Below are 26037 nucleotides of genomic sequence, written 5' to 3'. Positions count from 1 at the left end.
TGACTGCTAGGAACGGGAACAAAGAATCCAGCCCCACTGAGGATTACCTGGGTCAGATTCTGGAGATTAAGAGCTCAGCTGGAAAAGCAAATCTGGAGGCCGGACTCAGTATAGGAGGACAGAGCGGGGACGTGGAGGGTTAGGATGAGAGGGAACGGATGGGGTCCAGGCAGGGGAAGGGCAGAGCCAGGGAACCATGAATGGAGTCCTCATTCTGCCTCATCCTTGCTCTGACTTTGGTCAGTACTGCCCCTCCTGGGTGCAGTCTTCCCATCTGGGAAATGGGATGTTCGATGAGGGCCTTAGCGGGGGACAATGAGGGCTCCTAAGAGGAGGGAGCCCCAAAAAGGAGTGAAGGGAAAGGGTGGCAACTAGCACTTGAGCTGCTGTGTGCCAGTCTCTACTCTGCACAAAGGCTGCATGGAAAGTACTTCTACTGTGTGCCAATACTCTAAATGAAGGGCAGCTACTGTGTGCCAGGTGCTAAATCCTGTCTACTCTGTGCCAAGTGCTTTCCATAAAGTGTGCCTACTGTGTGCCAGGTGCTCTACATTAACCCTGTATACTCAGTTCCTGATATTCCTCATAGAGTGCCTACTGTGTGCCACCTGCTCTACATAGTGAGTGCCTATTGAGTGCCACCCCCTGTATATGAAGAGTGCCCACTGAGCACCAGTTGCTGTCTACATAACACATGCCTACTGAGTGCCAAGTGCTCTACATAAACAGTGCCTACTGATACCACCTGCTCTATATGGTGACTTCCTACTGAGTGTTTCCTGATCTACATAAAGAGGGTCTATTGAGTGCTGCCTGCTCGAGTGTTGCCTGTGCTCCATAAAGTGTACCTACTGTGGGCTGCCTTCTGTACATAAAGGGTGCCTACTGAGTGCTGCTTGCTCTACATGAAGAGTTCCTACTCTTGCCTGCGCTACATAAAAAGTGCCTACTCAGTACCACCTGCAATACATAAAGAGTGCCTACTGGCCAGGCACAGTAGCTCATGCCTGTAATCCAAGCACTTTGGGAGGCCAAGGCAGGCAGATCATCTGAGGTCGGGAGTTCAAGACCAGCCTGGCCAACATGGTGAAACCCCATCTCTACTAAAAATACAAAAATTAGCCGGGCGTGGTGGCGGGCACCTATGATCCCAGCTACTCGGGAGGCTGAGGCAGGAGAATCTCATGAACCCGGGAGGCAGAGTTTGCAGTGAGCTGAGTTCATACCACTGCACTCCAGCCTGGGCAACAGAGTGAGACTCTGTCTCACAAAAAAATAAAAAAGAGAGAGAGCCCATTGAATGCCACTTGCTCTAGATAAAGAGTGCCTACAGATGCCACCTGCTCTATATAAAGAGTGTTTACTGAGTATCATCTGCTCCTGATAAAGAGTGCCTACTCACTGCTGCCTGCTCTACATAAAGAGTGCCTACTGCTGCCACCTGCTCTTCATAGTGTGCCCACTCTGTGACTCATGGTCTACATATGGTCTACATAGAGTTTCTACTGTGTGACACCTGCTCTTAAAGAGTGCCTACTGGGCCAGGCACAGTGGCTTACACCTGCAATCCCAGCACTTTGGGAGGCCGAGGCGGGCAGATCACGAGGTCAGCAGTTCGAGACCAGCCTGACCAACATGGTGAAACCCTGCTTCTACTAAAATTACAAAAAATTAGCTGGGCATGGTGGTGTGTGCCTGCAATCCCAGCTACTCAGGAGGCTGAGGCAGGAGAATTGCTTGAACCCAGGAGGCAGAGGTTGCAGTGAGCTGAGATCATGCCACTGCACTTCAGCCTAGGAGACAGAGCGATACTCATCATCAAAAAAAAAAAAAGAGTGCCTACTGAGTAAATGTTTTTTTGGTTTTTTGCTTTTTTTTGGTTTTGGTTTTTTTTTTTTTTTTTTTGAGACGGAGTCTCACTCTTGTTGCCCAGGCTGGAGTGCAATGGCCCTATCTTGGCTCACAGCAACCTCCGCCTCCGATTCTCCTGCCTCAGCCTCCCAAGCAACTGGGATTATAGGCATGCAGCACCATGCCCAGATAATTTTGTATTTTTAGTAGAGACAAGGTTTCTCCATTTTGGTCAGGCTGGTCTCCAACTCCCAACCTCAGGTTATCCTCCTGCCTCGGACTCCCAAAGTGCTTGGATTATAGGCATGAGCCACTGTGCCTGGCCGTAAATGTAATTTTAAGATGAGTGGGGCTGTCCACAGGCAAGGACAAGGAGAAGGAGTTTGAGACCATGCAGGAGGCATGCGGTATTGTGGATGTTCACCAGGCCTAGGTTTGGATACAGTTCTGCTATTTCCTGGCTGTGTGACCTTGGGCAAATCTCTCAACCTGTCTGCACCTTACGTATCTCATCTGTAGGAGTCATATGGTGGATGAAATGGCTGGTGGAGTTGACCCTGAATACAGCTAGAGCTGTGAGGGTTTTACAGTTGTGCCCCAGGGAGGTGAACTGACCATCGTGGGGGGGGGGGGCAATTCATCATCCTGAACAAAGGAGATTAATTACATGTATTATTTGCCTAAATATACTATGAAAGGATACAGAAAAAGTAAAAGTGTTTACCTTTGTAAAGACGGCGAGACTGGATAAATGAAGGGCATAGGTACAAGAAACATTTTTCACTGTGCATTTTATTTTTTACATGAGTGAATATATTTTCTGCCAAAAATATTGCATTTGAAAATTTAGCCACCAGCTGTCAAGGAGTCTCATCTGAATCACAAAAAGGAGGAGGTAGAGCAAGATGGCAGAATAAAATGCGTCATTGATCGTCTCCTCCACAGGAACGCCAAATACAACAAATATCCACACAAGAAAATACCTTCATAAGAACCAAAAATTAGGTGAGTGATCATGGTATCTGGTTTTAACATCATATCAAAAAAAGAGGTACTTTGAACTCATGGAGATAGAGAGTAGAAGGATGGTTACCAGAGGCTGGGAAGGGGAGTGGAGGAGTGAGGGGAAGTTAGGGATGGTTAATGGGTACAAATAAAGATAGAAAGAATTAATTAGACCTATAATAAGACCTACTATTTGATAGTACAACAGGGTGACTATAGTCAATAATAACTTAATCGTACATTTTAAAATAATGAAAAGAATGTAACTGGATTGTTTGTAACACAAAGGATAAATGCTTGAGGGGATGGATAATCTATTCTCCATGATTTGATTACTGTGCATTGCATGCCTGTATCAAAATATCTCATGTACCTCATAAACATATATACCTAGTATGTACCCACAAAAATTAAAAATTTAAAGAGGCACTAAAGAATGTACAAAAGACAGGTTTTTTTTCTTTTTTCTTTTTTCTTTTTCTTTTTTTTCTTTTTTTTTTTTTTTTTGAGACAGAATCTTGCTCTGTCACCCAGGCTGGAGTGCAATGGCACGATAGCTCACTGCAACCTCTGCCTCCCGGGTTCAAGCAATTCTCAAGCCTCAGCCTCGCAAGTAGCTGGGACTACAGGCTCATGCCACCACGCCCAGCTAATTTTTGTATTTTTAGTAGAGACAGGGTTTCACCACGTTGGCCAGGCTGACCTTGAACTCTTGACCTCAGGTGATCTGCCTGCCTCGGCCTCCCAAAGTTCTGGGATTACAGGAGTAACCCACTGTGCCTGGCCAAAAGAGTCTTAAATTGCCTACACTAACACTTCCCCATCTCCCAGAAGTGGCCTCATGGCTGGAGAGAGAATCTGGGTGCTTGAGTGGAGGGGAGAGAGCACAGTGATCATGGGACTTTGCATTGAAACTCAGTGCTGCCCTGTCACAGCAGAAAGCAACATGGGGTAGAATTTAGCCAGTGCCGACAGAGGAAGCATTTAGGCCAGCCCTAGTCAGAAGGGAATTGTCCATCCCAGTGGTCAGAACCTGAGTTCCAGCTAGTACCACCATTGCAGGCTAAAGTGCTCCAGGGTCCTAAATAAACTTGAAAGGCTACCACCTATGTTTGTTAAAGGCCCAAGGGCTCTACAATCAGTATGTGGTAAATCCAGCTACAAGGACTGCAATTCTGGAGCAAGTCCTGGTGCTGCGCTGGGCTCAGAGCCAGAGAACTTGGGGTGCACACAACCTAGTGAGGCACCAGCCAGGGCAGCCAAGGGAGTCTTGGCAAGCATCATCCCTCCCACAACTCCAGGCAGCACAGCTTGCTGCTCCAGGAGAGACTTCTTCCTTCTGCTTGAGGAGAGGCAGCTTGGATACCAGCTCAGCCACAGAAGAATAGGGCACCAGACAGCATCCTGAGGCTCCCATTCCACGCTCTAGCTCCCAGACAACATTTCTAAACACACTCTTGGACAAAGGAAACATGCTGCCTTGAAGGGAAGGACCCAGTCCTGGCAGGATTTACCACCTGCAGATTAAAGAGGACATAGGCCCTGAATAATCATCAGTGGTAGCTGGGTTGTACTTGTTGCAGGCCTTGGGTGAGACTCAGTGCCATACGGGCTTCAGGTGTGACCCAGCACATTCCCAGCCGTAGTGGCCACGGGGAGAAGCTCCTTCTGCTTGAGGAAAGGAGAGGTAAGAGTAAAGGGGACCTTGTCTTGCAGCTTGGGTACCAGCTTAGCCACAGTGGGATGGAGCACCTGGAGTCCCTGATTCCAGGCCACAGCTCCTGGACAGTATCTCTGGACCCACCAGATATGTGGGGAACTCACTGCACTGAAGGGAAGGTCACAAGGCCTGGCTAGATTTACCACATGCTGATTATGCAGCCCTTGGGCCTTGAGTCAACACAGGTGGTAGCCAAGCAGTGGTCACTGTGTGCCTTGGGCAAGACCCAGTGCTGTGGTGGCCTCAGGTCTGACTCAGCACAGTCCCAGTGGTAGATGCCACAGGGGTGTTTGTGTCAACCCTCCCCTAGCTCCAGACAGATCAGCACAGATCGAGAGAGAGACACATTTGTTTGGGGGAAAGTAAGGGAAGAGAAGAGTCTCTGCCTGGGAATCCAGGGAATTTTCCCAGATCTTACCCAAGACAACCAAGGCAGTACTTCTACTAATCTGCAAGAGTCCCAGCATTACTGGGATTGAGGTGCTCCCTGTGTAGATACAGCTGTGGTTATCAAAGACTTAGATTACTGCACTCAATTCCCTTTGAATATTTGGAAAGCTTTCCCAAGAAGGACAGGTACGAACAAGCCCAGACCACAAAGACTACAGTAAATGCCTAACTCTTCAATGCCCAGACATCAACAAACATTCACAAGCATCAAGACCATCCAGGAAAACATGACTTCACCACATGAGCTAAATACAACACCAGTGATCAATTCCAGAGTGACAAAGATATGTGACCTTTCAGGCAGATAATTCAAAATAGCTGTTTTGAGAATGCTCAGTAAAATTCAAGACAACACAAAGAAGGAATTCAGAATCCTATCAGGTAAATTTAACAAAGAGATCGAAATAATTAAGAAGAACCAAGATTGAAATAATTTAAAAGAACCAAAGAAATCCTGGAGCTGAAAAATCCATTTGACATACTGAAGAATGCATCAGAGTCCCTCAACAGCGGAACTGATCAAGCAAAACAAAGAATTAGTGATCTTGAAGACAGACTATTTGAAAATTCACAGTTAGAGAAGATAAAAGAAAGAAGAATTTTAAAATGAAGTAGGCCTACAGGATCTAGAAAATAGCCTCAAAAGGGCAAATTTAACAATTCTTGGCCTTAAAGAGGAGGTGGAGAGAGATCAGGATAATAACAGAACTTCCCAAACCTAGAGAAAGATATCAACATTCAAGTACAAGAAGGTTACAGAAAAGCAGGCAGATTTAATCCAAATAAGACTAACTCAAAACATTTAATAGTTAGGCTGAGCAGGGCGGCTCACACCTGTAATCTCAGCACTTTAGGTTGCCGAGGCAGGTGGATTGCTTGAGCCCAGGAGTTTGAGACTAGCCTGGGCAACATGGCAAAACCCTGTATCTACCATATATATATATTAGCCGGGCATGGTGGTATGCATCTGTAGTCCCAGCTACTTGGGAGACTGAGGTTGAAGGACGGCTTAAGCCCAGGGGGCAGAGGTTGCAGTGAGCTGAGATCATGCCTCTGCACTACAGCCTGAGTAACAGAGCCAGATCCTGTCAAAAAAAAAAAAAGATTAATAATTAAACTCCCAAAGGCCAAGGATAAAGGATCCTAAAAGCAACAGGAGAAAAGAAACAAATAACATACAAAGGAGCTCCAATATGTCTGGCAGAAGACTTCTCAGTGGAAACCTCATATGCTGAGAGAGTGGCATGACATATTTAAAGTGCTGAAGGGAAGAACTTTTATCCTAGAATAGTATATCCAGCAAAAATATTCTTCAAACATGAAGGAGAAATAAAGATTTTCCCAGACACACAAAACCTAAGGGATCTGCAGACCTGTCTTAAAAGAAATGCTAAAGGGAGTTCCTCACTGAAAGAAGAAGATGTTAATGAGCAATAAGAAATCATCTGAAGGTACAAAACTCACTGTAAGTACATAGACAAACACAATACTATAACACTGTAACTGCGGTATGTAAACTACCCATATATTGAGTAGAAAGACAAAAAATAGTTGTTATCTATTGCTTTGAAAATGAAATCTTTACCCCAAAACTTATTTGATGAAGTTACTCAATTTGTAACCAATGATACCTCAAACTGTCAACTTGTATGAAGACAATTCTTGCAACGTGAGACAAAGCACTTTTATATCATTTTGTAACATCACGCCATTTTTAAGAAATAGAGTGGTTTGAATACATAACCCAAATATTTGTTAAAACCACAAAATAATGTTTCATAAAATGATTTGATGTCATGGAAAGATGTTAACAGCATATCGTGTGAGTAGCCCAAATTAACAAAAATTTGAGATAAAATAGCATTTTTTGTTTGGGTAAAATTCACAAAACATAAAATTCACCATTTTAAAGGGTACAATTTAGTAGCATTTGGTATATGCACAGTGTTGTGGAAACTTCACCACTATCTAGGTCCAGAACATCTTCACCACCCAGCAGGAAATCCTGACCCCATTAGCACTTCCTCTTCCCACTTCCCCACAGCTCCTGACACCACCAATCTCCTTTCTGTCTCTATAGATTTGCCTATTCTGGACATTTTTTTTTTTGAGACAGAGTCTCACTCTGTTGCCCAGACTGGAGTGCAGTGGCGTGATGGCATGATCTCAGCTCACCACAACCTCCACTTCCTGGGTTCAAGTGATTCTCCTGCCTCAGCCTCCCAAGTAACTTGGATTACAGGCATATCCCATGACGCCCAGCTAATTTTTCTTGTATTTTTAGTAGCGACGGGGTTTCACCCTGTTGGCCAGGCTGCTCTTGAACTCCTGACCTCAAGTGATCTGCCTGCCTGGGCCTCCCAAAGTGCTGGGATTACAGGCATGAGCCACCACACCCAGATGGACATTTCTTATAAATAAATCATACACTATGTGACCTTTTGTGTCTGACTTCTTTCACATACTATAATGTATTCAAGGTTCATCCAGGTGGTAGTATGTATCAGTACTTCATTCCTTTTAATGGCTGAGTAATATTTCATTATACGAATAGATCACATTTTCTTTATCCATCCATCTGTTAATGGATATTTGAGTTCTTTCTACCTTTTGGCAATTGTGAATAGGGCTGCTATAAGCACGAATGTACAAGCTTTTTTGTTTGAACAACTGTTTTCTATTCTTTTGAGTATATAGCTAGGAGCTTAATATGATATCGTGGAATTGCATCATATAGTAATTCTATGTTTTAGTTTTTCAGAATCTCCAGACTGTTTTCCACAGCAGCTGCACCATTTTTACAGTCACACCAGGAATGGATGAGGGCTTCGATTACTCCATATCCTCTCCAACATTTGTTATATTCCCTTTTTTAGATGCTAGCCATCCTGTAGGTGTTGAGGTGACATCACGTTGTGCTTTTGGTTTGCATAATGGGAATAATGTTTAGCATCTTTTCATGTGCTCATTTGGCAGGAAAATAGCACTTGTAAACAAAATTACATGCAAATGTGATATGACACAGCTATATAGATGTAAATAAACATTTTCATATGTAAAAAGATCACATATGAATTAAAAACTGGAAGCATATGCAAGAAAATATAAACAGTGATTATTCTGACATTTTGAAATTATGGATGATTTTTATTTCTTGCAATTTCTTCTATAAGCATGCATTATTTATGAAACTTAAACTTTAAAGGGAAGAAAAATTGACTTTCAGCATAGAATATATTAAATAGTTATTTATTTCGTTTTGCAATGTTCCATTCTTATTTTGCAGCCAATAATCCTTCCAGGTTCCCAATCTATGGGCCCCTGAAAAGCGCTCAGTCCTTGGACTCTGCGCCCCGCAGGAGCCCCCTACAGTCAGACAGGGGAAAGTCCAGGTGCAGCCGCTGTCCCTGGTGCTGAAAGGGGCGGCCCCTCCCCCCCCCCGCCCGCCCCCCGCCCAGCCCACACCCTCTACCTTCCTCTCACTTGAAAACCTTCATGACCTGAACTTTTTAGACAGGAATAAATTCTGAGTCGTGCCTCTCTGGAAAAATTAATTTTTTCCGTTCTAAGCTTTGGGCCAACCTTTCACCAAAGTCCACTGTAGATTCTCGGATGTAATAACGGATATTTTGAGCACACAAAACATTCGAATGAATTTTCCTCAAGAGAAGGTTGCCATGCATCCCAAAGCTTGAAGCAACCTCTTGCGATTTTTTAAAATGTCAAAACTTCAAATGTGATGCAAAAAGAAGAGAAAGAGAGGCAATTAACCCTCATGGACCGCTAATACCCAACAGATGTGGCTCAGGGATGTTGTAGATACTGGCTTGTTCAGTCTTCCAGCAGCCCAATGAGGTGAATACTATTAAGTGGTAAACAAAACCAGGGCTACAGAGATAAACAAGTTTTCCCCAAGCCAATCAGCTAGTGAATAGCAGACTGGGATTCTGACATTTATAATACAACTTCAAGGTGATGTTTAGTACAATTCCAAGGGGATATGGATTATCTTAGCCCATTCAGGCTGCTATGACAACATAACTTACACTAGGTAGTTTATAAACAACAGGTATTTATTGCTTACAATTTTGGAGGCTGGGAAGTCCAAGATCAAGGTGCCTGCAGGTTCAGTGTCAACTAAGGGCCTGTTCCTCATAGATGGCACCTTGCACGTGTCTTTACATGGTGGAAGGGGCAAACAAGCTCCCTCAGGTCTCTGTTATAAGGGGTAATCTCACTTACGAAGGCAGAGCCCTCACAACTTAATCACCTCCCAAAGGCCTCCCCTCTTAATACCACCATATGCAGACTAGGCTTCAATGTATGGATTTGGGGGCTACATAAACATTCAGGTCACAGCATGGATCTAGGGTCATAGACCCTGACTGCTTCTAGCCATCTGCCCCATCTGCCCTAAATAGCAGTCCCTGTCCTCATGAGCCAAGATGGAGCTCCAGAGGCCACATCAATCTTGCAAGCAATTTGTTAAAAAGTCAAAAAATAGCAGATGTTGCCAAGGCTATGGAGAAAAAGGAACATTTATACACTGTTGGTGGAAATATAAATTAGTTCAGCCACTAAACTAATGGAGTGTGGAGAGCAGTTAGGATATTTCTCAGAGAATTGAGAGTTGAACTACCATTTGACCTAGCAATCCCACGACTGGGTATACACCCAAAAGAAAATAAATCATTCTGCCAAAAAGACACAAGCATCCACATGTTTATCGCAGCTCTAATCACAATAGCGAAGATGCTGAATCAACACAGGTGCCCATCAATGGTGGAGTGGATAAAGAAAATGTGTAGAAATACACCATGAAATACTATGCAGTCATTAAAAAGTACAAAATCATGTCGTTTGCAGCAACATAGATGCAGCTGGGGGCCATTATCCTAAGCAAACTAATGCAGGAACAGAAAACAAAATATTGCATGTTCTCACTTATAAGTGGGAGGTATGCATTGGATACACATGGTAATAAAGATGGGAACAACAGATCCTGGGGACTACTAGACAGGGGAAGCAGGGAGGGGGAAAAGCTGAAAAACTGCCTATTAGATACTATGCTCACTACATGGGTGATGGAGTCATTCATACTCCAAACCTCAGCATGATGCAATATACCTTTGTAATAAATTTGCATGTTAGCACCTGATTCTAAAATAAACATTGAAACTCAAGAATTTTTATTCTCACACCTGCAATTCTGGCACTTTGGGAGGCTGAGGTGGGCTGATCACTTGAGGCCAGGAGTTTGAGACCAGCCTGGCCAACATAGCAAAACCCCATCTGTACTAAAAATACAATTAGCCGGGTGTGGTGGTAGGCGCCTGTTATCCTATCTACTCAGGCGACTGAGTCAGGAGAATCACTTGAACCCAGGAGGTGGAGGTTGCAGTGAGCCACTGCACTCCGGCCTGGGCGACGAGAGACACCATGTCTCAAAAAAAAAAAAAAATCTTCCAAGCAGCAGGAAGGAAGAGGGGAGGACTGAGCAGACAGACTGTAGCAGCTTTCTCTTAAGAAAGGTTACCAGAATTACCACATAATCTTTGGCTTCTACACATGGGACAGCCACAGTCACTTAACCAATTGAGCTTCAAGAAAGGCTTTCAAATGTGATCTGTATTTCAGGCTGCTATGCACCTAGCTAAAAAACAGGGATTCTAAATTGGCAAAAATTTATATCAGAATACACAATTATTTTGGGGGGGAAAAAGTCTTTACTTAGACTCTGGGAGATCCCACCCTCAGCACGGGGCTCCTGTGCTCACCCAGAGAGGCAGTGAGTATCTTGGGCACAGAGACATCTCCCCGCCTCTTCCCAGCCAGGCCCTAGATCCCCGCAGTCCTCCAGCGCCCCCTACTGGCCATCCGCGGGACTGAGGCACAGGGGCCAACACAGATTTATTACCGGAAATCTGAAAAGGTAGTTGGTGCAAAGGTAGGTGATGCAAAGGTAGGTGGGTGGGTCACTGCAGGCCTCAGCCCAGGGGTTCTACTCGCAGCCAAAGTCCGTCCTCCGCACGCAAAACAATCTCCGGCGTCCTGCGTGGCTCCCTGTGGTCGGGCAGGATGCGGAAGCGCAGCAGCGTGAGCGCCAGGACCACCTTCATCTCTGCCATCGCGAACTTCTGCCCGATGCAGTTCCTGGGGGCCAAGGTGGAAGGTCTGACTGCACCCAGGACCCAGATCCCGGCCCCACTGCGCCAGGAACCAGGCCCGGAACCCCCAACCCCACCCAGATCACCTTGGGCAGACAGGGGGGAAGCTGGGTCTGGGACCCCCATGTGGGCTTGCATATTCCCAGAGCCTAGCCCAGACCCCAGCCCCAACTGAAACCAGACGGGGCAGGAGGCTCTGAGCACACCCTTTTTCCTAGGATCTTCTTTAAAACCCCTATCACAGAAACACGTGGTCCTACAAGTCAGGCATCTGACAAGGCAGCCATCTGTGCCACCCTCAGCCCATGCCCACCTCAGACACCCCCTGGCCTCACCTGGGCCCCGCCGAGAAAGGAATAAAAGCCATAGGTGACCTCTTCTGGGCGTTTTCTGGGTCGAAGCGGAAGGGGTCATAGACCTGGGGTGGAGGCAAGTTAAGGCTGCTGATGGGGCCTCTCAGGACACCCAGCCACCCCCACATAAAACAGATGTGGGTGGAGTAGAGAGGGAGTATCTGGTTTTCCGGGACAAGACCCCTCCCCCGACCAGGCCCGGGGGATGGAGAAACAGGGAGGGGCAGCACCTCAGGGTCTGGCCAGACTGAGGGGTTGTGATGGATTGCGAAGATGTTGATGTTACAGACATTCCCTGTCGTGCAGGAGAGGACAGTAAGAACAAGGTCCGAGCTGCCTGCTGGGACCACCGCCCTGCCCAGGACCCTCCTCCCCTGCCATGGAGGGCACCTTTGGGGATGACTCGGCTGTCTGGGAGCACCACGTCCTGGGTGCAGCCGCGGGCGAATGTAGGGATTGGGGGATGCAACCGCAGGCTCTCCTTCAGGCACATGGTCAGGAAGGGCAACTGGGCCAGGTCGTCCCTAAGGAAACACCCAACAATTATCCAGAGAGCATACACGGCCCTCCTGCTGCCCCTGGAGACCCTCTCACCACCTCCCTCTGACCCTCAGTCCTATAACAAAATTAATTCCAGAAGCAACAAAGATGTAAGCATTAGAAAACCAAAGTCACAAAACTACTAGAAGAAAAGTTGACCTGGTGTTTTTAGAGGTATTTCTGAGCAAAACAATATTCAGAGGGTGTCTCTTAAAAGTATTCATTCCGGCGGGGTGCAGTGGCTCACTCCTGTAATCCCAGCACTTTGGAAGCCTGAGGCAGGAGGATCACTTGAGGTCAGGAGTTCCACACCAGCCTGACCAACATGGTGAAATCCCATCTCTACTAAAAACACAAAAATTAGCCACGCATGGTGGTGGGCACCTGTAGTCCCAGCTACTCAGGAGGCTGAGGCAGGAGAATCCCTCGAACCTGAGAGGCAGAGGTTGCAGTGAGCCGAGATCACTCCACCGCACTCCAGTTTGGGAGGCAGAGCAACTCCATCTCAAAAACAAAAGTGTTCATTTGTTTGTGTGAAAAAGTATTTAAAATTATATAAAGAGGTAACAAAAGCAGGAAAAAAACATCTCTACAAAGGGCTTATAAAGTTATTTGAATAAATAATCTCCACTCCACACTGTAGGGTGGGATGACCATATGTTGTAAAGGTGTCAATTATTTCTAAACTAATCAATATACTTCATGCAATTAATAAAAATCTAGCTGGATTCTTTTTGGAACTTTGAAATCTTATTCTAATTGAAGGAATTTTAAAGTTCATCAAGGGCTAGGTCAATTTTTTTTTTTTTTTTGAGATGGATTCTCACTCTGTCACCCAGGCTGGAGTGCAGTGGCCTGATCTCAGCTCACTGCAACCTCCACTTCCTGCGTTCAAGCGATTCTTGTGCCTCAGCCTCCCAAGTAGCTGGGATTACAGGTGTGCACCACCACACCCAACTAATTTTTGTATTTTTAGTATAGATGGGGTTTCACCATGTTGGCCAGGCTGGTCTCAAACTCCTGACCTCAAGTGATCTGCCTGCCTCAGCCTCCCAAAGTGCTGGGATTACAGGCATAAGCCACCATGCCCTATCCAAGCTAGGTCAATTTTTAAATAAAAGATTGAAGAAGGAGAACCCAAGCTTCCAGATATTAAGAGATATTACAAATGCATACTAATAAAAATAAAATAATTTTAAAAAAACTGTGGGACTGCTGCAAGAACAGAAAAACAGATCCATAGAACAGAGTAGAGAGCTCAGAATCAGGCCTGTGAATAGGGGGAAACTTAACATCTGCTAAAGGAAGGTCCACACGCCCCTGGAGAATGGATAGTGTGGTGGAAGTTGTTCAGACCACTGGAAATGTGGGAACAGAGAGAAACAGGTTCTTGTCTACTGCATATACAAGGTGGAGTCTTTTCCTTTATGAGAAAGGTAAAATTATAATGTTAAAAGATGATAACATAGGAGAAATTTTTGTGACTTAAGAGTAGGAATTCTTAAAACCCCAAAAGCTTAAACAAGATAAAATATAAAGGATAAATACGCATGCAAATTAAGGATTTCTGTGCAGTAAAAGATACAGTGGACCCAATTAACATTCCAATGAGAGATAAGAGATTCAGAGAAGATGCCTAAGATAGATAGATAGATAGATAGATAGATAGATAGATAGATATCCAGAACAATATCTGAATATGTTAGGAATTCCTGCAAATCTACAAGAGAACGAACAGGTAACCCAAGTGAAAAGTAGACAAAGGATTTGATCTAAGAATTCATGGATGCTCAAACATGAGAAATGTAAGAGGAGATGCGCAAAGTCACTAGCTGTCATAGAAATGGAAGCTAGCTGACAACGAGGTACCACTTCACATCTATTCGAGGCTAGAATGGCCAAAGGTAGGTGTTGCCAAGGGTTGGCTGAGGTGTGGGTAGAGGGGTCACATGCACTGACAGTGGGGTGCACAGAAGCTGCCAATATGGAAGGCAACCTCCAGGACATGGCCAAGGAAAGATGTGTGTTTTACAGCCCAGCAAGCTGGTTCCCAACTGTAGATCCCAGAGAAATTATCAGACATGCAGATAAAGAGATATGCACAAAGATGGTCATTGCACTGGAGAGATAGAAGCAGTCCAGGTATCCACTACAGAACTGAAGAGAAAAGGACTAGATCATAGCTAAAAGCAAGAGAATAAATGTACTTAGAACCACGGTGCTGCAAATCATAGTGCTACATTTATATAGCACAAATCATAGCATGCAACCACGGTGCTGCAAACGTAGCACAAATCATAGTGCTATATTTCTGAAAAGGTAAGAACCAGCACAACATCTGTGAAATAAAAACATATATAGAATTTTAAAATGTATCCACCCCAACAACAAGTTTTACAGATAAAAGTATCCACCATTTTGTAATCATACTGATGGAGAGCTGGAAGGAGAGATTTGAGATAAATGGGAAGAAATACGTATTGTATAGAAAAATGACGAGAATTTGCCATGAATTGAAGAGCATCGTTAACTCAAACATTAGCACCTAAGGTCCAAAAAATTTATTAATTAACATTTTCAAAAGTATTTGTCAAACTGGCTAACCTGATCACAGAGTTCAAATGGAAAAAAATAGGAACTCGAGGGAAAAAAAACTGTAAACACAAAGTAATGAGACAGAACAAACTCTACCAAATATTAAAGTGTTTTTAAAAGTAGACTTCATGCTGCTCATGTAGGACTACATAATAAATGGAACAAAATGAAGGCAACAAATAAAACCATATATATACATACATGCCTAAGATAGGCATATATATATATGGTTTTATTTGTTGCCTTAAAATACATATATATATAGTGTATACACTATATATAGTATGTGTGTGTGTATATATATATACACAAACACTATATATATATACACTATATATATACACTATATATATATATATACACACACATAGTTTCTTGTGAATTTGTTGTTATTTAGAATCATGACACAAGGACAAAATATTCATTAAACTTGGTTGGGACAATTAGACATTTGGAGAAAAAATAGATTCCAACATAGATTTCAAAGGGAAAAATTTCTAAATGTGAAAAATATTGATAAAATGTTAAACTTTTAAAAATATATAAGCCTATTAAAATAAGTCAAACAAGAGTTTTGCATTTTACTATTAGAGTATAAAATGGTTTTTAAATATTTTTTTAAGAAACACAAACAGGAATTATAAAAGAAAAAATTAATAAATTTGGTGACAAATAAATGAACCAAAAATAAAAATAAAGTCCAAGACAATGCGAGGCAACATTTTGCATAACAGAAAAAAGAAATAATTTTCTTAATATGTAAAGAGTTTTTATAAGTAAATAAGAAAACTAGTACGACCCAAAGTAGAAAAAACAAATTACGCAAAAACTGACTTCACAGAAAAATAGATATGGATGGCTCATCGGCAGGTGAAAACAGTGCTCAACTTTACCCACATTTAAAGTTATGTTCATTAAAATAACAAAATATTATATTGCATCTATCAGATTGGCAAATGTTTTAGTTTCATAATAGGCACTTCTGGGGAGGTTATGAGGAAATTTGGTATTCTCAAAATCTGTGTATAGCAGTAGATTTCCCAAGAGCTATTGAATTGTAAAACTCAAATGGTCTTTGGCTCAGCAGTTGCACTTCTAGGAATCTGCTCTACAAAGATGACATGTCAGCAATGATCATCGTACACCGATATTCAACACATCATGTCTTTTATACCAAAAGGCTGGAAAGTATAAAAACACGCGTTGATAAGAGAATGTTTTGATAAATCATAATATTAGATTGGTCCAAAAGTCATTGCGGTATTTGCCGTTAATTCTCCAAGCAGCCCTGTGGGACAGCAATTCCCCACACCCCCAATTTACAAAGGAGAAAAGTTGTTCAGAAAAGGGAATTGATTTTACTAAGCTTGCATAGCAAGTTAGTGGGGAAATAAATATGGACTCCCAGACCATTCTGTCCCCAAAGCATGCAATGTTACCCTTGCTAGCCTGTTTCTGGGCTCTACTCCTATTCCCACTAGGCAACAATGGCAGAATCATCAAAAAGATCCTCCCCTTTTCCCCCACCTGGGGAGAAGAACCAACGAGAAGGACTCAGAAAGGCAGAAAGGCAGAGCCACCAGCACCTGCACTCACCATTCAATCTCTTTAGGCTCACGGTCCTTCAGAAGCTCTTGCACCTCCTGCCGGCAGCGTTCTTGGTATTCTGGGTGCCTCGCGAGGTTGTACAAGACCCAGGAGAGGCCACTGGCCGTGGTGTCATGGCCTGAGGGTCAGCCAGGCAGGCTTGAGTCTCTGGGCTGCTTCAGCACCCAGAGGGTGGACAGCGCCCATACATTGAGGCTCTCAGGAAGGTTGAGGGGAGGGGGAGGTTGGGCAGAATGAAGTGATTCAGGGCCGGCCCTCCACTTCCCTGGAGTGGAGAGACCCCTGTCCCCACTGTAGCCCCAGACTGGGACACTCACCTCCAAACATGAAAGTGTCAGCTTCTGCTCTTATGTCCTCATCTGACAACTCTTTACCATTTTTATCCTGGAGACAAGAACCCCAATCACACTAGTTCTGGGGTCACTGGAGTCTAAACTGAAACAGTCTCTGAAGACCCATTATCCCAGAAGGATCCCTCCCTTGTCACCTCCAGATCTACCCCCACATGCTTCCTTCCGACCTCCTGTTTGTTCTTCCCAGGAAGCTTTCTATGCAATCACCTCTAAAATTTATCTGACTTGTCCCTCCCTTCTTCGAGCACCTTCCATGGCTCCTTAGTGCCCTCTGTATCAAGTCCGGTCCTTCAATCTGACATTTGACCTGAAGCTCCATTTTACCTCTTGAATTCAGATCCCAGAGAGGCCCACCTCGCTCAGCAGGAGCACATCAATAAAGTCCAAAGTCTTGGACTTGGCCTTGGCTTGGAGGAAGTCATCAACACCCTGGCTAGTGAGGGTGCGGCGCCGCTCCTGGATGACGGCATCTGTGAAGTCGTGCACCAGTCTGCAGGCCCTGTGGAAGCGCCGTCCACAGGGAGTGAGGAAGTACAGGAAGTCCTTGTACCGGAAGAACTGGTTATTCCGTTTCACTACAAGGGCACTGAGCTCCATGATCGCAGTAATATATTCACTGGGCTTCCTGCAGGGCCAGTCCAGAGAGAGGAAGCAGCTCCTTACCCACATGAAAGCCTGGGAGCACCTTCCAGCCAGAATCCCAGGACCACATTCCATGCAGAAAGGGGTGTCCTGCAAGCGCACTTCACTCTCTGCCTCCCACTCTCTGTGAGCTGCCTCCTGCCCCAGGTCCCCAGGGCACAGCTTGGCCATCATGGGCATCTCCTCTCTCTGTCTTATAAAACATCTGCTCCTGCCTATTATTACTCAGTTTCTCCCAAATCTGCCCCATTTTCTCCACCAAACTCAGACCTCCTCTCCCTGGCATCCTTGCATGCTGTGTCTACATGACAGTCAATCTTCCATAGAGTCCCATAGAGTCCAGTGTCCAAGCTCAGTACTGACCATGTCTCTCATCTGCTCAAACACCTCCATGGCTCCTTAGGAACCTTGGATAAAATGCATCTCCCTTTGTCTGACTTTTCAAGATCCTTAAGATCTAGTTAACTGCCAACCCCTCCACCTTCATTTCCAAGTGTCTCCCAACTGCCTGTTGCACATGCTCTGTTCATCTTAGCCTCCTTGCCTTGACCCAAACAGTTCCACTTGTTTGGAGGAAACTTCTCTTTCTCTCGCTCTCTCTCTCTCTCCTTCTCTCCTTCTTTGTCCTTCAATGCCTAGTTCTCATCATCTCTCCAGGAAGGCTCTTCTTGTCTCCCTGGGCTTTGCTCTCCCCACACCCACACCCCCACTCCATCCCATGTTCCCAGGCCCTGGGCAAGAACTCACTCCTGACAATTGCTGTCAAAGCTGAAGATGCATTTCTGCAGACTGTCCAGGGTCATAAGGCTGATGTGCTCAAACACATCCAGACAGGTGCTGCCCTCCATGGCCAGGCGTTGCCACTTGGCCTGGCCAGAGAAGGGAGCAGGGCTGGGGCCAGGCCTTGGCTCCTCTGAGTCCCCCTGCAACCCCAACCACCAGGATGGACTCCCCCAGAGGCATGCTCCTGGTTTTCTGTCCCAGACCCCCATCCTCAGGGAGGACTACGCTTGGGTGAGAGTGGAAGCTGTTACTATTAGGAGATGAAGATCCCATGGCTGGGTTCAAGCCCCAGCTGTGATTCCTAAGCTGTGTGTACCCTTGGTCAACTCACAGCCCTCCTCTAGGTCTCACCTGTCAAATCCTCAATAGCAATCAAGATGACCTGCTTTGATGCCAGGGAGCCAGGCTAGAACCCCTTTTCCCCCACTCTTAGACTCACTGACAAGCTGGGTGAACTTGGGAAATCTCTCTAACCTCTCTGGCCCTCAGTTTCACCATTTGTCATGGCATGGGGGAGAGGGTGGAAAATATCCTCTACTTCACAAGGCGGTGTAAATTAAATGAGACCACATACACCATGGAATAGGCATATTACATCATTTCTGTCATATGATGAGTTCTCAATAAATATTATCTTGATTCATCTTCATTGTTATAAATTGATTACAAAAAGTCCCTGTGATCCCCCTGAACATTTTTTTCTGAGCATGCCAAGAATGCAAAACTCTGAAGTTTTGTTGTTGTTGTTGTTTGTTTGTTTTGTTTGTTTGCTAGTTTTTGAGATGGAGTCTCGTTCTGTTGCCCAGGCTGGAGTGCAGTGGCACAGTCTTGGCTCACTGCAACCTCTGCCTGCTGGGTTCAAGCAATTCTCCTGTCTCAGCCTCCTGAGTAGCTGGGGTTACAGGCACGCACCACCACGCCCTGCTAATTTTTGTATTTTTAGTAGAGACAGGGTTTTGCCATGTTGGCCAGGCTGGTCTCGAACTCCTGACCTCAAGTGATACCAATGTGCTGGGATTACAAGCATGAGCCACCACACCCGGTCAACCCTGAGGTTCTTAATCTGGGCTATTTCTCAGCATTGTGTTTGCAGAGAACAGCCTTGGGGTATAAGGTAATGGCTCCTCTGGGACACACGTTAGGCTTATTCTGCTTGCTCTAAAAGCTGATTCTCTAAGCCTAATGCTCCTCCCCATCATGCAAATATACTACATGGCAGGCATCTATAGAAGCCCACCTTATCACCCCAGGGAATTTGGGTGGCTTAGAGAAAGGATCCAAACCAACAAGATGCACATGCCACTTGCTGAGACATGAGTAATAAACTTTTGTCTTTGACCCAGAAGTCTCGTGTCTTCTGGCAGAATCCATGCAAAAGTAACAAGCTAATTTATTAGCTCACAGGAGAAAAAAAAATCCTAGTCGTTTCACAAAACGCTTGGCTCCATTTCTTCTCTTCTCCCTGCATCCACATCTTTTGCAATGTGATTTTTTAGCAACTTCCATTAAGAGATGGAGCCTATTTTGCCCCACATTGATTCATGGTGGACGTTTTACTTTTTTTGGCCAATAGAATGTGGTGAAAATGATAAGGCCATAACTAGTGAGAAGTTGACTGGGTGCAGCAGCCCATGCCTGTAATTCCAGCATTTTGTGAGGCCGAGGAGGGCAGATCACTTGACGTCAGGAGTTCAAGACCAGCCTGCCCAACATGGTGAAACCCTGTCTCTACTGAAGATACAAAAAATTAGTTGGGCATGGTGGTGGGCGCCTGTAATTCCATCTACCCACGAGGCTAAGACAGGAGAATTGCTTGAGGCGGGGGTTGCAGAGAGCCAAGATCGCACCACTGCACTCCAGCCTGGGAGACAAAGCGAGACTTCATCTCAAAAATAAAATAAATAATAATAACTAGTGAGAAGCATTGTATCCTCCTCTCACTGCCTTGGAATCCTGTCTCTGCCATGTGAGCAATCCTGGGGTGTCATCTAGAGGCAGAGAATCACATGGAGAAAAGTCCAGGTGTCCCAGCTGAGGCCATCCTAAATCAGCCAGAAGCCAGCAAAGCTCCAAATATGTGAGAGAACTGAGCTGGCACAAGCAAAGCTGCCTACCTGACCCACAGCTGCTCTTATACCATGAGGGATCCTATCCACATGCAGAAGGGCTGGCCAACAGTCCCACAGATTTGTTAGCAAATATAAACCCTTATTGCTCTAAACCAATTAGTTTTGAAGTGATCTGTACTCAGCAATGACTACTATGCACGTGTCATCATTCCTTTCTTGAGTTTACAGGGCTTCTGTGAGAAAAATGTGGAAATTGACTCCTTCTGACCACCTACTAAGTGTCAGAGACATGAGTCCATTACATGCTCCTACCACCTTTTAGTGAGGATTATTAGCCTCATGGGGAAATCAAGGCACAGAGAGGAAGAGCAATGGCCCCAAACCCACCCAGGAGAGCCAACATTCCAGACCCAATTGTATGTGATCCCTCCACCCCAAGGCTGCAGCTGGGATGCTGAGTTCAAGGCACTCACATGCATGATGTTTGCACTCTTGCTGAAAATCTTTATATAGGGCTTCAGGATGTTGAAATGGAAGGCAGGCGTCAGCAAGCGACGGTGGTGTCTCCACTTGTCACCAACACTTAACAAGAGCCCATCCCCTAGTACGGCAGCCAAAGGCTGTGGGCAAGGGCAGAATCTTCCCCTGGCCACAAAAGTTGGTCCCCGTCCCGTCCACCTACAGTTACTTACCCAGCCAGGGCTTCAGGGTCTTGTAGAAGACTATGTCCTTGTCTGTAATGGCATCTGACATGAATGAGGACCATCAGGGTCCATGGAGAGGAATAGAGGAGGGACTTTGGGTATGGAGGGTGGCTCCCAGCCAGAGGTTTGGACGTCTTTTCTCCAAGCCCAGCATAGCAGGAAGGAGGCCATGGGCAGAAGAAGAAAGGAGGGTGGGGGGCATAAAGGGGACCGGACTAGGCTGCAACAACACTATAGAGCAATGATACACCCTGACATGGTACAGCACACCCAGCATGTCTTGACATGGCTCCTACATGGTCCAACATGTTCTGCAACACCCAAGCATAAGTCAACACTCTACAAAACACATTTACAGAATAAGAGTTAAAGACAGAATTCTGATGATATTAGGTGAGACCTGGATCCAGTTGTGCCTGAAGGCCAACCTCCCTGGATGTTGCAGTCAATAGCTTCTCTTTAATGGCTTAGACTGCGTGGGGTTGAGTTTCTACCACTCACAATGGAAAGACACCTCAGCACCCATAGAGAGCCGTGGACCTGCCCAGAGTCACTCAGCATTTTGGGGCTTGAGCCATGGTCTCTGTGGCGTGATACCCCTTCTGCTGCTCTCCCTGGCCTGTCCAAAGATGGGAAGGGCAGAGGGCAAGGGTACGGCTCCAGGCTGGGGTGGTGTCTCCTATTGGAGATTCCTGGGGCCTGGAGCAAGAGGGCAATGAACATATGGTGGAAGTGCCACAGGATGGGATTAGAAGGAATCGACCCACAAGAGGTGAATGTCATGGAAATAGCAGCCTAGATCTTCCACCAACCACAACTCCTTCTCATCTTCTTGTCCTTGCTCTGGGCCTGCAGAAGGACAAGGCCAATGCCAAGCCTGGCCCGGAGCCTTGAATACTAACAATGCCCACTGCATCACCCTGCCCCTGCTTTAAAAAAAAAATTATCACTCATCGTTCCACACCCAGCTCCTGCTACGCCTCCTCCAGGAAGCCTTCCAGCCTGCCCCAGTAGAAACCTTGTTCTCCTATGCTCTGTCACAGCCTATCTCCTCCTGGCCCATTCTGAACCCCATGAAGTTGGGGATGTCTCTGTACTGCTCCATCTCTTCAAGTTTGGGGATTCCTCCAGGACAGGGCCTTGGATTAAGGCTTCTCGGGGCCCCAGTGGTTCCCAGAACAACACGGAGGTGGGGAAGATGGCAGCAGAGAGAAAAGACACTGAGGTTGGGGTTGGTGACTACAGGAAGGAAAGAGGAAGGTGGCTGAGAGAGAAGCAGGAAGGAAGGGGCTGAGTACTACAAGAGCTGCACAGAAGCTTTGGGGATGAGATCTAGAAGCCCTCCAATGTTCTCCTGTGCCCACCACCACAAGCTCTGCAGGAGTACCTGAGGTATTGATGACAGATCGGACGATGTCAGGGTGGCACAAGTTGATGATGGGAGTGATGGGGCCCAACCACCTCACAAAGCCCTGGGGGTAGGTGGCCACCAGCTGGGTCAGGACCCTCAAGCCCTCCTCTGTGGGAGTGACCTGCAAGCAAGGCAAGGGCCATCACCTCCTGTGTCCACTTGACTGGGTTAAGGGATGCCCAGATATCCAGTCAAACATTATTTCTGGGTATGTCTGTGAGAGTGTTTCAGGAGAGATTAGCATTTGAAGGAAAACTGAGGAAGGAGGATCTCCCCTTCCCAGTCTGTGTGGGCATCATCCAATCTGTTGAGGGTCCACGTAGAATGTAAAAGTGGAGGAAGGGTGAATTTGTTTTCTCCTCTGCAGCTGAGACATCCATCTTCTCCTGCCCTTGAACATTAGAACTCCAGGTTCCCAGGGCTTTGGACCCAGACGGAATTGCACCACCAGTGTCCCTGATTCTCCAGCTTGCAGAAGGCATAGAGTGGGACTTTTCAGCTTCCATAAACATGAGTCAATTCCTATAATAAATGCCCTCTTCTGTCTCTCCATAGATTAGATAGATCATAGACAGACAGACGGACTGATAGATAGATAGATAGATAGATAGATAGATAGATAGATAGATAGATAGATGTAGATATTGATATCCTATTAATTCTATTACTCTGGAGAAATAAATACATTTCCCAGGAGGAGCCACAGCAGGTCCCACTGCAGGCTTTAGAGGTGGCACAGCCTCTGCAATGAACAGCATGTCCAGATTCTGCGCACATAGGGGTAATCTCCACTCCCTCCTGCTCCCTTCTCTTGGGGGCAGTATCTAACTTCCAAGGCTACATCCCAGGGAACAGGGGGAAGACAAACTGTCTGTTCATGGAGAAGCCCACCTTGAATAAAGAGGATGGATTTTCTCATCCTGGGAGTGGCTCCAGCCCACGGAAAGTCACGTGGGGTGGGCTCCACAAGTGTGGTGTGTGGGCAGCAATGTGGCCTCAGGACATGTCCCCAGGGCTGGTCCCCACATCCTTTTATGTCCTGGCTGGGCCTCAGGGGCCCCAGGCCCTCCCATGGAGAAGGTCTGTACACGGTGGAACTTCCTTTCTCAGCAGCCCCCAGGGGAGAAGAGGTGGCTCTAACTGTCTGTCAGGAAGAACAGCGGCTCTCACCAGGGAGCACCTTTTGCACATCAAGCTCAGAGCTAGTCCGTCCTGTGTTCCCTCACCCTGCACCTGTGGACACACCCATCATTCCTGCCATTTGCCAAAGAACAGACTGATGCCAAATCGCCCAAAGGGGACAGCAGGTCTAAGTGAAAGGGCAGGGTCTGAAGGGTCAAAGGTAACTTTAAAGAGGAAGTCACTGGCCAATTTTTATCCAGGTTGGGCAACACAACTCATTGGGACAGCTTAGTGGGGATAAAGAAGATGCCCCTGCACGGGGGAGGGTGGAGATGGCACACATCTCTCTTCTGGCCCAGCTGTGTCATGATGTGAGGGTAGGGGGTGTATAGCTACTTCCTATGGGAAAACTCCAGCCCAGAGATGGATGGACACAAGCAAATGGGCCAGGCAGAAAGTGGGTTCTAGACAGTGAGCCCAAGAGGCCTCCAGTACAGCAGTGGATAATGTGGAAATAATGGTGAATACCTGCTGCGTAACCCCCACTCTGCCACAGGAACCCATCAGAGGTTCACTAGTGTACTGAAAACAGTCAGGAAAAGAATTCAAAACAGTCTAGGGGTGACTTCCCCTAGACAAGGAGATGAGAAAGGCTTGGCATGGCAAAGCAGAGGAATGAGTGAGCAAGGAGAGGAATGAGTGAGCGAGGAGAGGAATGAGTGAGCGAGGAGAGGAATGAGTGAGCGAGGAGAGGAATGAGTGGGTGAGGAGAGGAATGAGTGAGTGAGGAGAGGAATGAGTGAGTGAGGAGAGGAATGAGTGAGTGGGAAGAGGAATGAGTGAGTGAGGAGAATGAGTGAGTGAGGAGAGGAATGAGTGAGTGAGGAGAGGAATGAGTGAGGAGAATGAGTGAATGAGGAGAGGAATGAGTGAGTGAGGAGAGGAATGAGTGAGTGCGCAGAGGAATGAGTGAGTGAGGAGAGGAATGAGTGAGTGAGGAGAATGAGTGAGTGAGGAGAGGAATGAGTGAGTGAGGAGAGGAATGAGTGGGAAGAGGAATGAGTGAGTGATCAGAGGAATGAGTGAGTTTCTCTGCCGTCCCAGACCCGAGCCCACCCCCTCAGCCTGAGCCCCATTTCCACCCTTCCACCCTGAGACACTAGATCCATCCTCCTGCCACTCACCAGGCCCAGGTGACCCAAGAACCAGTTCTGTTTCCGGGGCTGCGGGAAACACCGGAGGCGGCGGCCGTTGTGATAGAAGGCATAGGTCCAGGCCAGGATGCGGGCCAGGAGCCAGGAGGCCCCGACCACCAGCAGGAGCAGCCACGGGGATGCTGCCACCGGCCTGAGGCCCAGCCAAGACAGGCTCAGCAGCGACATCCTGCAGGGCAGACGGGATGGAGGGTGAGGTCCTGAGGCCTAGGAAAGGGGCTGGGGAGCTCCAGGACCAATGATGGGTAAACATGGTTAAGAGCATGGAGGGAGATTCAGGGAATCTCAGGGGAAGAGGCCAAGGGAGAGGGGAGAGGAGAAGTGACACAAAATTAGAGATCAAGGAAACTAGAGACCAGAAACCAGACAGCCTCATCTAGAACCACCAGCCAACTTGACCTCTGGTTACCTGCAAGCACCCATCACCAGGGCCAGCTCCCTGGAGCCATCCCAGTCTTGGGCAGTGCCCCTCCCTATCCAGCCCTGCCACCCCCAGCCTGGCACCTTCTGTCAGGAGAAGGTTGTCCCGCACAACCTCCTCTCCTCCTTTGCCAGGAGGTTTTTGCTCCTGGCCCCAGATCTAGGAAACACTTCAGGAGGCTGGGCGGGGCTGGACTAGCCAATCCTCACAGCCTGGATGCCTCCTTTGTGCCAGGGCAGCCAACCAAAACCCGGGGACTGGTGGGGACCATAACTGTAGAAGAACCAATTCAGGGTGACCGAGCATGGCCACTCAGTCCTTGGTACCTCTCATGTAAGGCAGAGGGTAAGTTGGAGGGCAGCCAATGGTGATCTGAGCCCCAAAATGTGCAGCCACCCTGCCTTTCCAAGACCAGGGGAAGGTAGGTAAAGGAATGAAGTGTTCAGATGCCAGGTGAGCTGGGTGAGGCCAAGCCTTCTCCCAAAACATCCCCCAAGTTCCCCTCCAAATGTGGGCCAGGAGAATGCTGTGCACCATTTCTCAGTGCAGATTTAGGAGATTCAGAGACAGAAGCCTGTTGCCCTCCACTGCCAGCCTGGCAGGAATTCAAGTCCTGCCTCCCAGCAGCCCAGGACCTAGGCTGAGACCTGACTGACAGGAGCAGGAACAAAGAATGCAGCACCACTGGGGATTACCCAGGGTCAGATTCTGGAGATAACGAGACCAGCTGGGAAAGCAACCTGGATGCTGGGCTCAGCATAGGAGGACAGAGGGGGCCTGTGAAGGGTAACGCTGAGGGAAGCTGAGAGCAGACGAGGTCGAGACAGTGGAAGGCAGAGCCAGGGGACCCTGAGTGGAGTCTCCTTCTGCTCTGTCCTTGCTTTGATGATGGGCAGTACTGCCCCTCCTGGGCTCAGGCTTTTTTTTTTTTTTTTCTTGAGACGGAGTCTTGCGCTGTCACCCAGGCTGGAGTGCATTGGCGCGACGGGATGGAGGGTGAGCTCGGCTCACTGCAAACTCTGCTTCCTG

The 26037-nt window shown here is 46.7% G+C and overlaps 1 protein-coding gene across 2 annotated transcripts, besides 1 other annotated feature; it reads right to left on the bottom strand.

The window, feature by feature from the left end:
- Positions 9733-25154, bottom strand: CYP4F8 (cytochrome P450 family 4 subfamily F member 8). Of its 2 annotated transcripts, NM_007253.4 has the most exons (13): positions 25092-25154; positions 24558-24756; positions 22228-22372; positions 20829-20882; positions 20610-20737; positions 18032-18153; positions 16997-17267; positions 16607-16673; positions 16278-16407; positions 11937-12070; positions 11777-11841; positions 11529-11611; positions 9733-11179 (listed from the first exon to the last, which is right to left on the bottom strand). In NM_007253.4, the coding sequence occupies exons 2-13, from the start codon at positions 24753-24755 to the stop codon at positions 11014-11016; spliced, it is 1563 nt and encodes a 520-aa protein (NP_009184.1). In that variant the 5' UTR covers position 24756; positions 25092-25154; the 3' UTR covers positions 9733-11013. The 2 variants fall into 2 exon arrangements, with proteins under 2 accessions (NP_009184.1, XP_024307109.1); XM_024451341.2 differs by lacking the exons at positions 9733-11179; positions 11777-11841 and having other exon boundaries at positions 11540-11611.
- Positions 10757-10806: a silencer, noted in NCBI's record as "silent region_10286". NCBI's record gives its function as "represses an Ori minimal core promoter by ATAC-STARR-seq in GM12878 lymphoblastoid cells {active_cell/tissue: GM12878}" and the evidence as "EXISTENCE:reporter gene assay evidence [ECO:0000049][PMID:35858748]".

The sequence above is a fragment of the Homo sapiens genome, chromosome 19 (genome assembly GCF_000001405.40).
Source record: "Homo sapiens chromosome 19, GRCh38.p14 Primary Assembly".
Lineage (NCBI taxonomy): Eukaryota > Metazoa > Chordata > Mammalia > Primates > Hominidae > Homo > Homo sapiens.
This window is presented reverse-complemented; position numbering and strand designations above follow the sequence as displayed.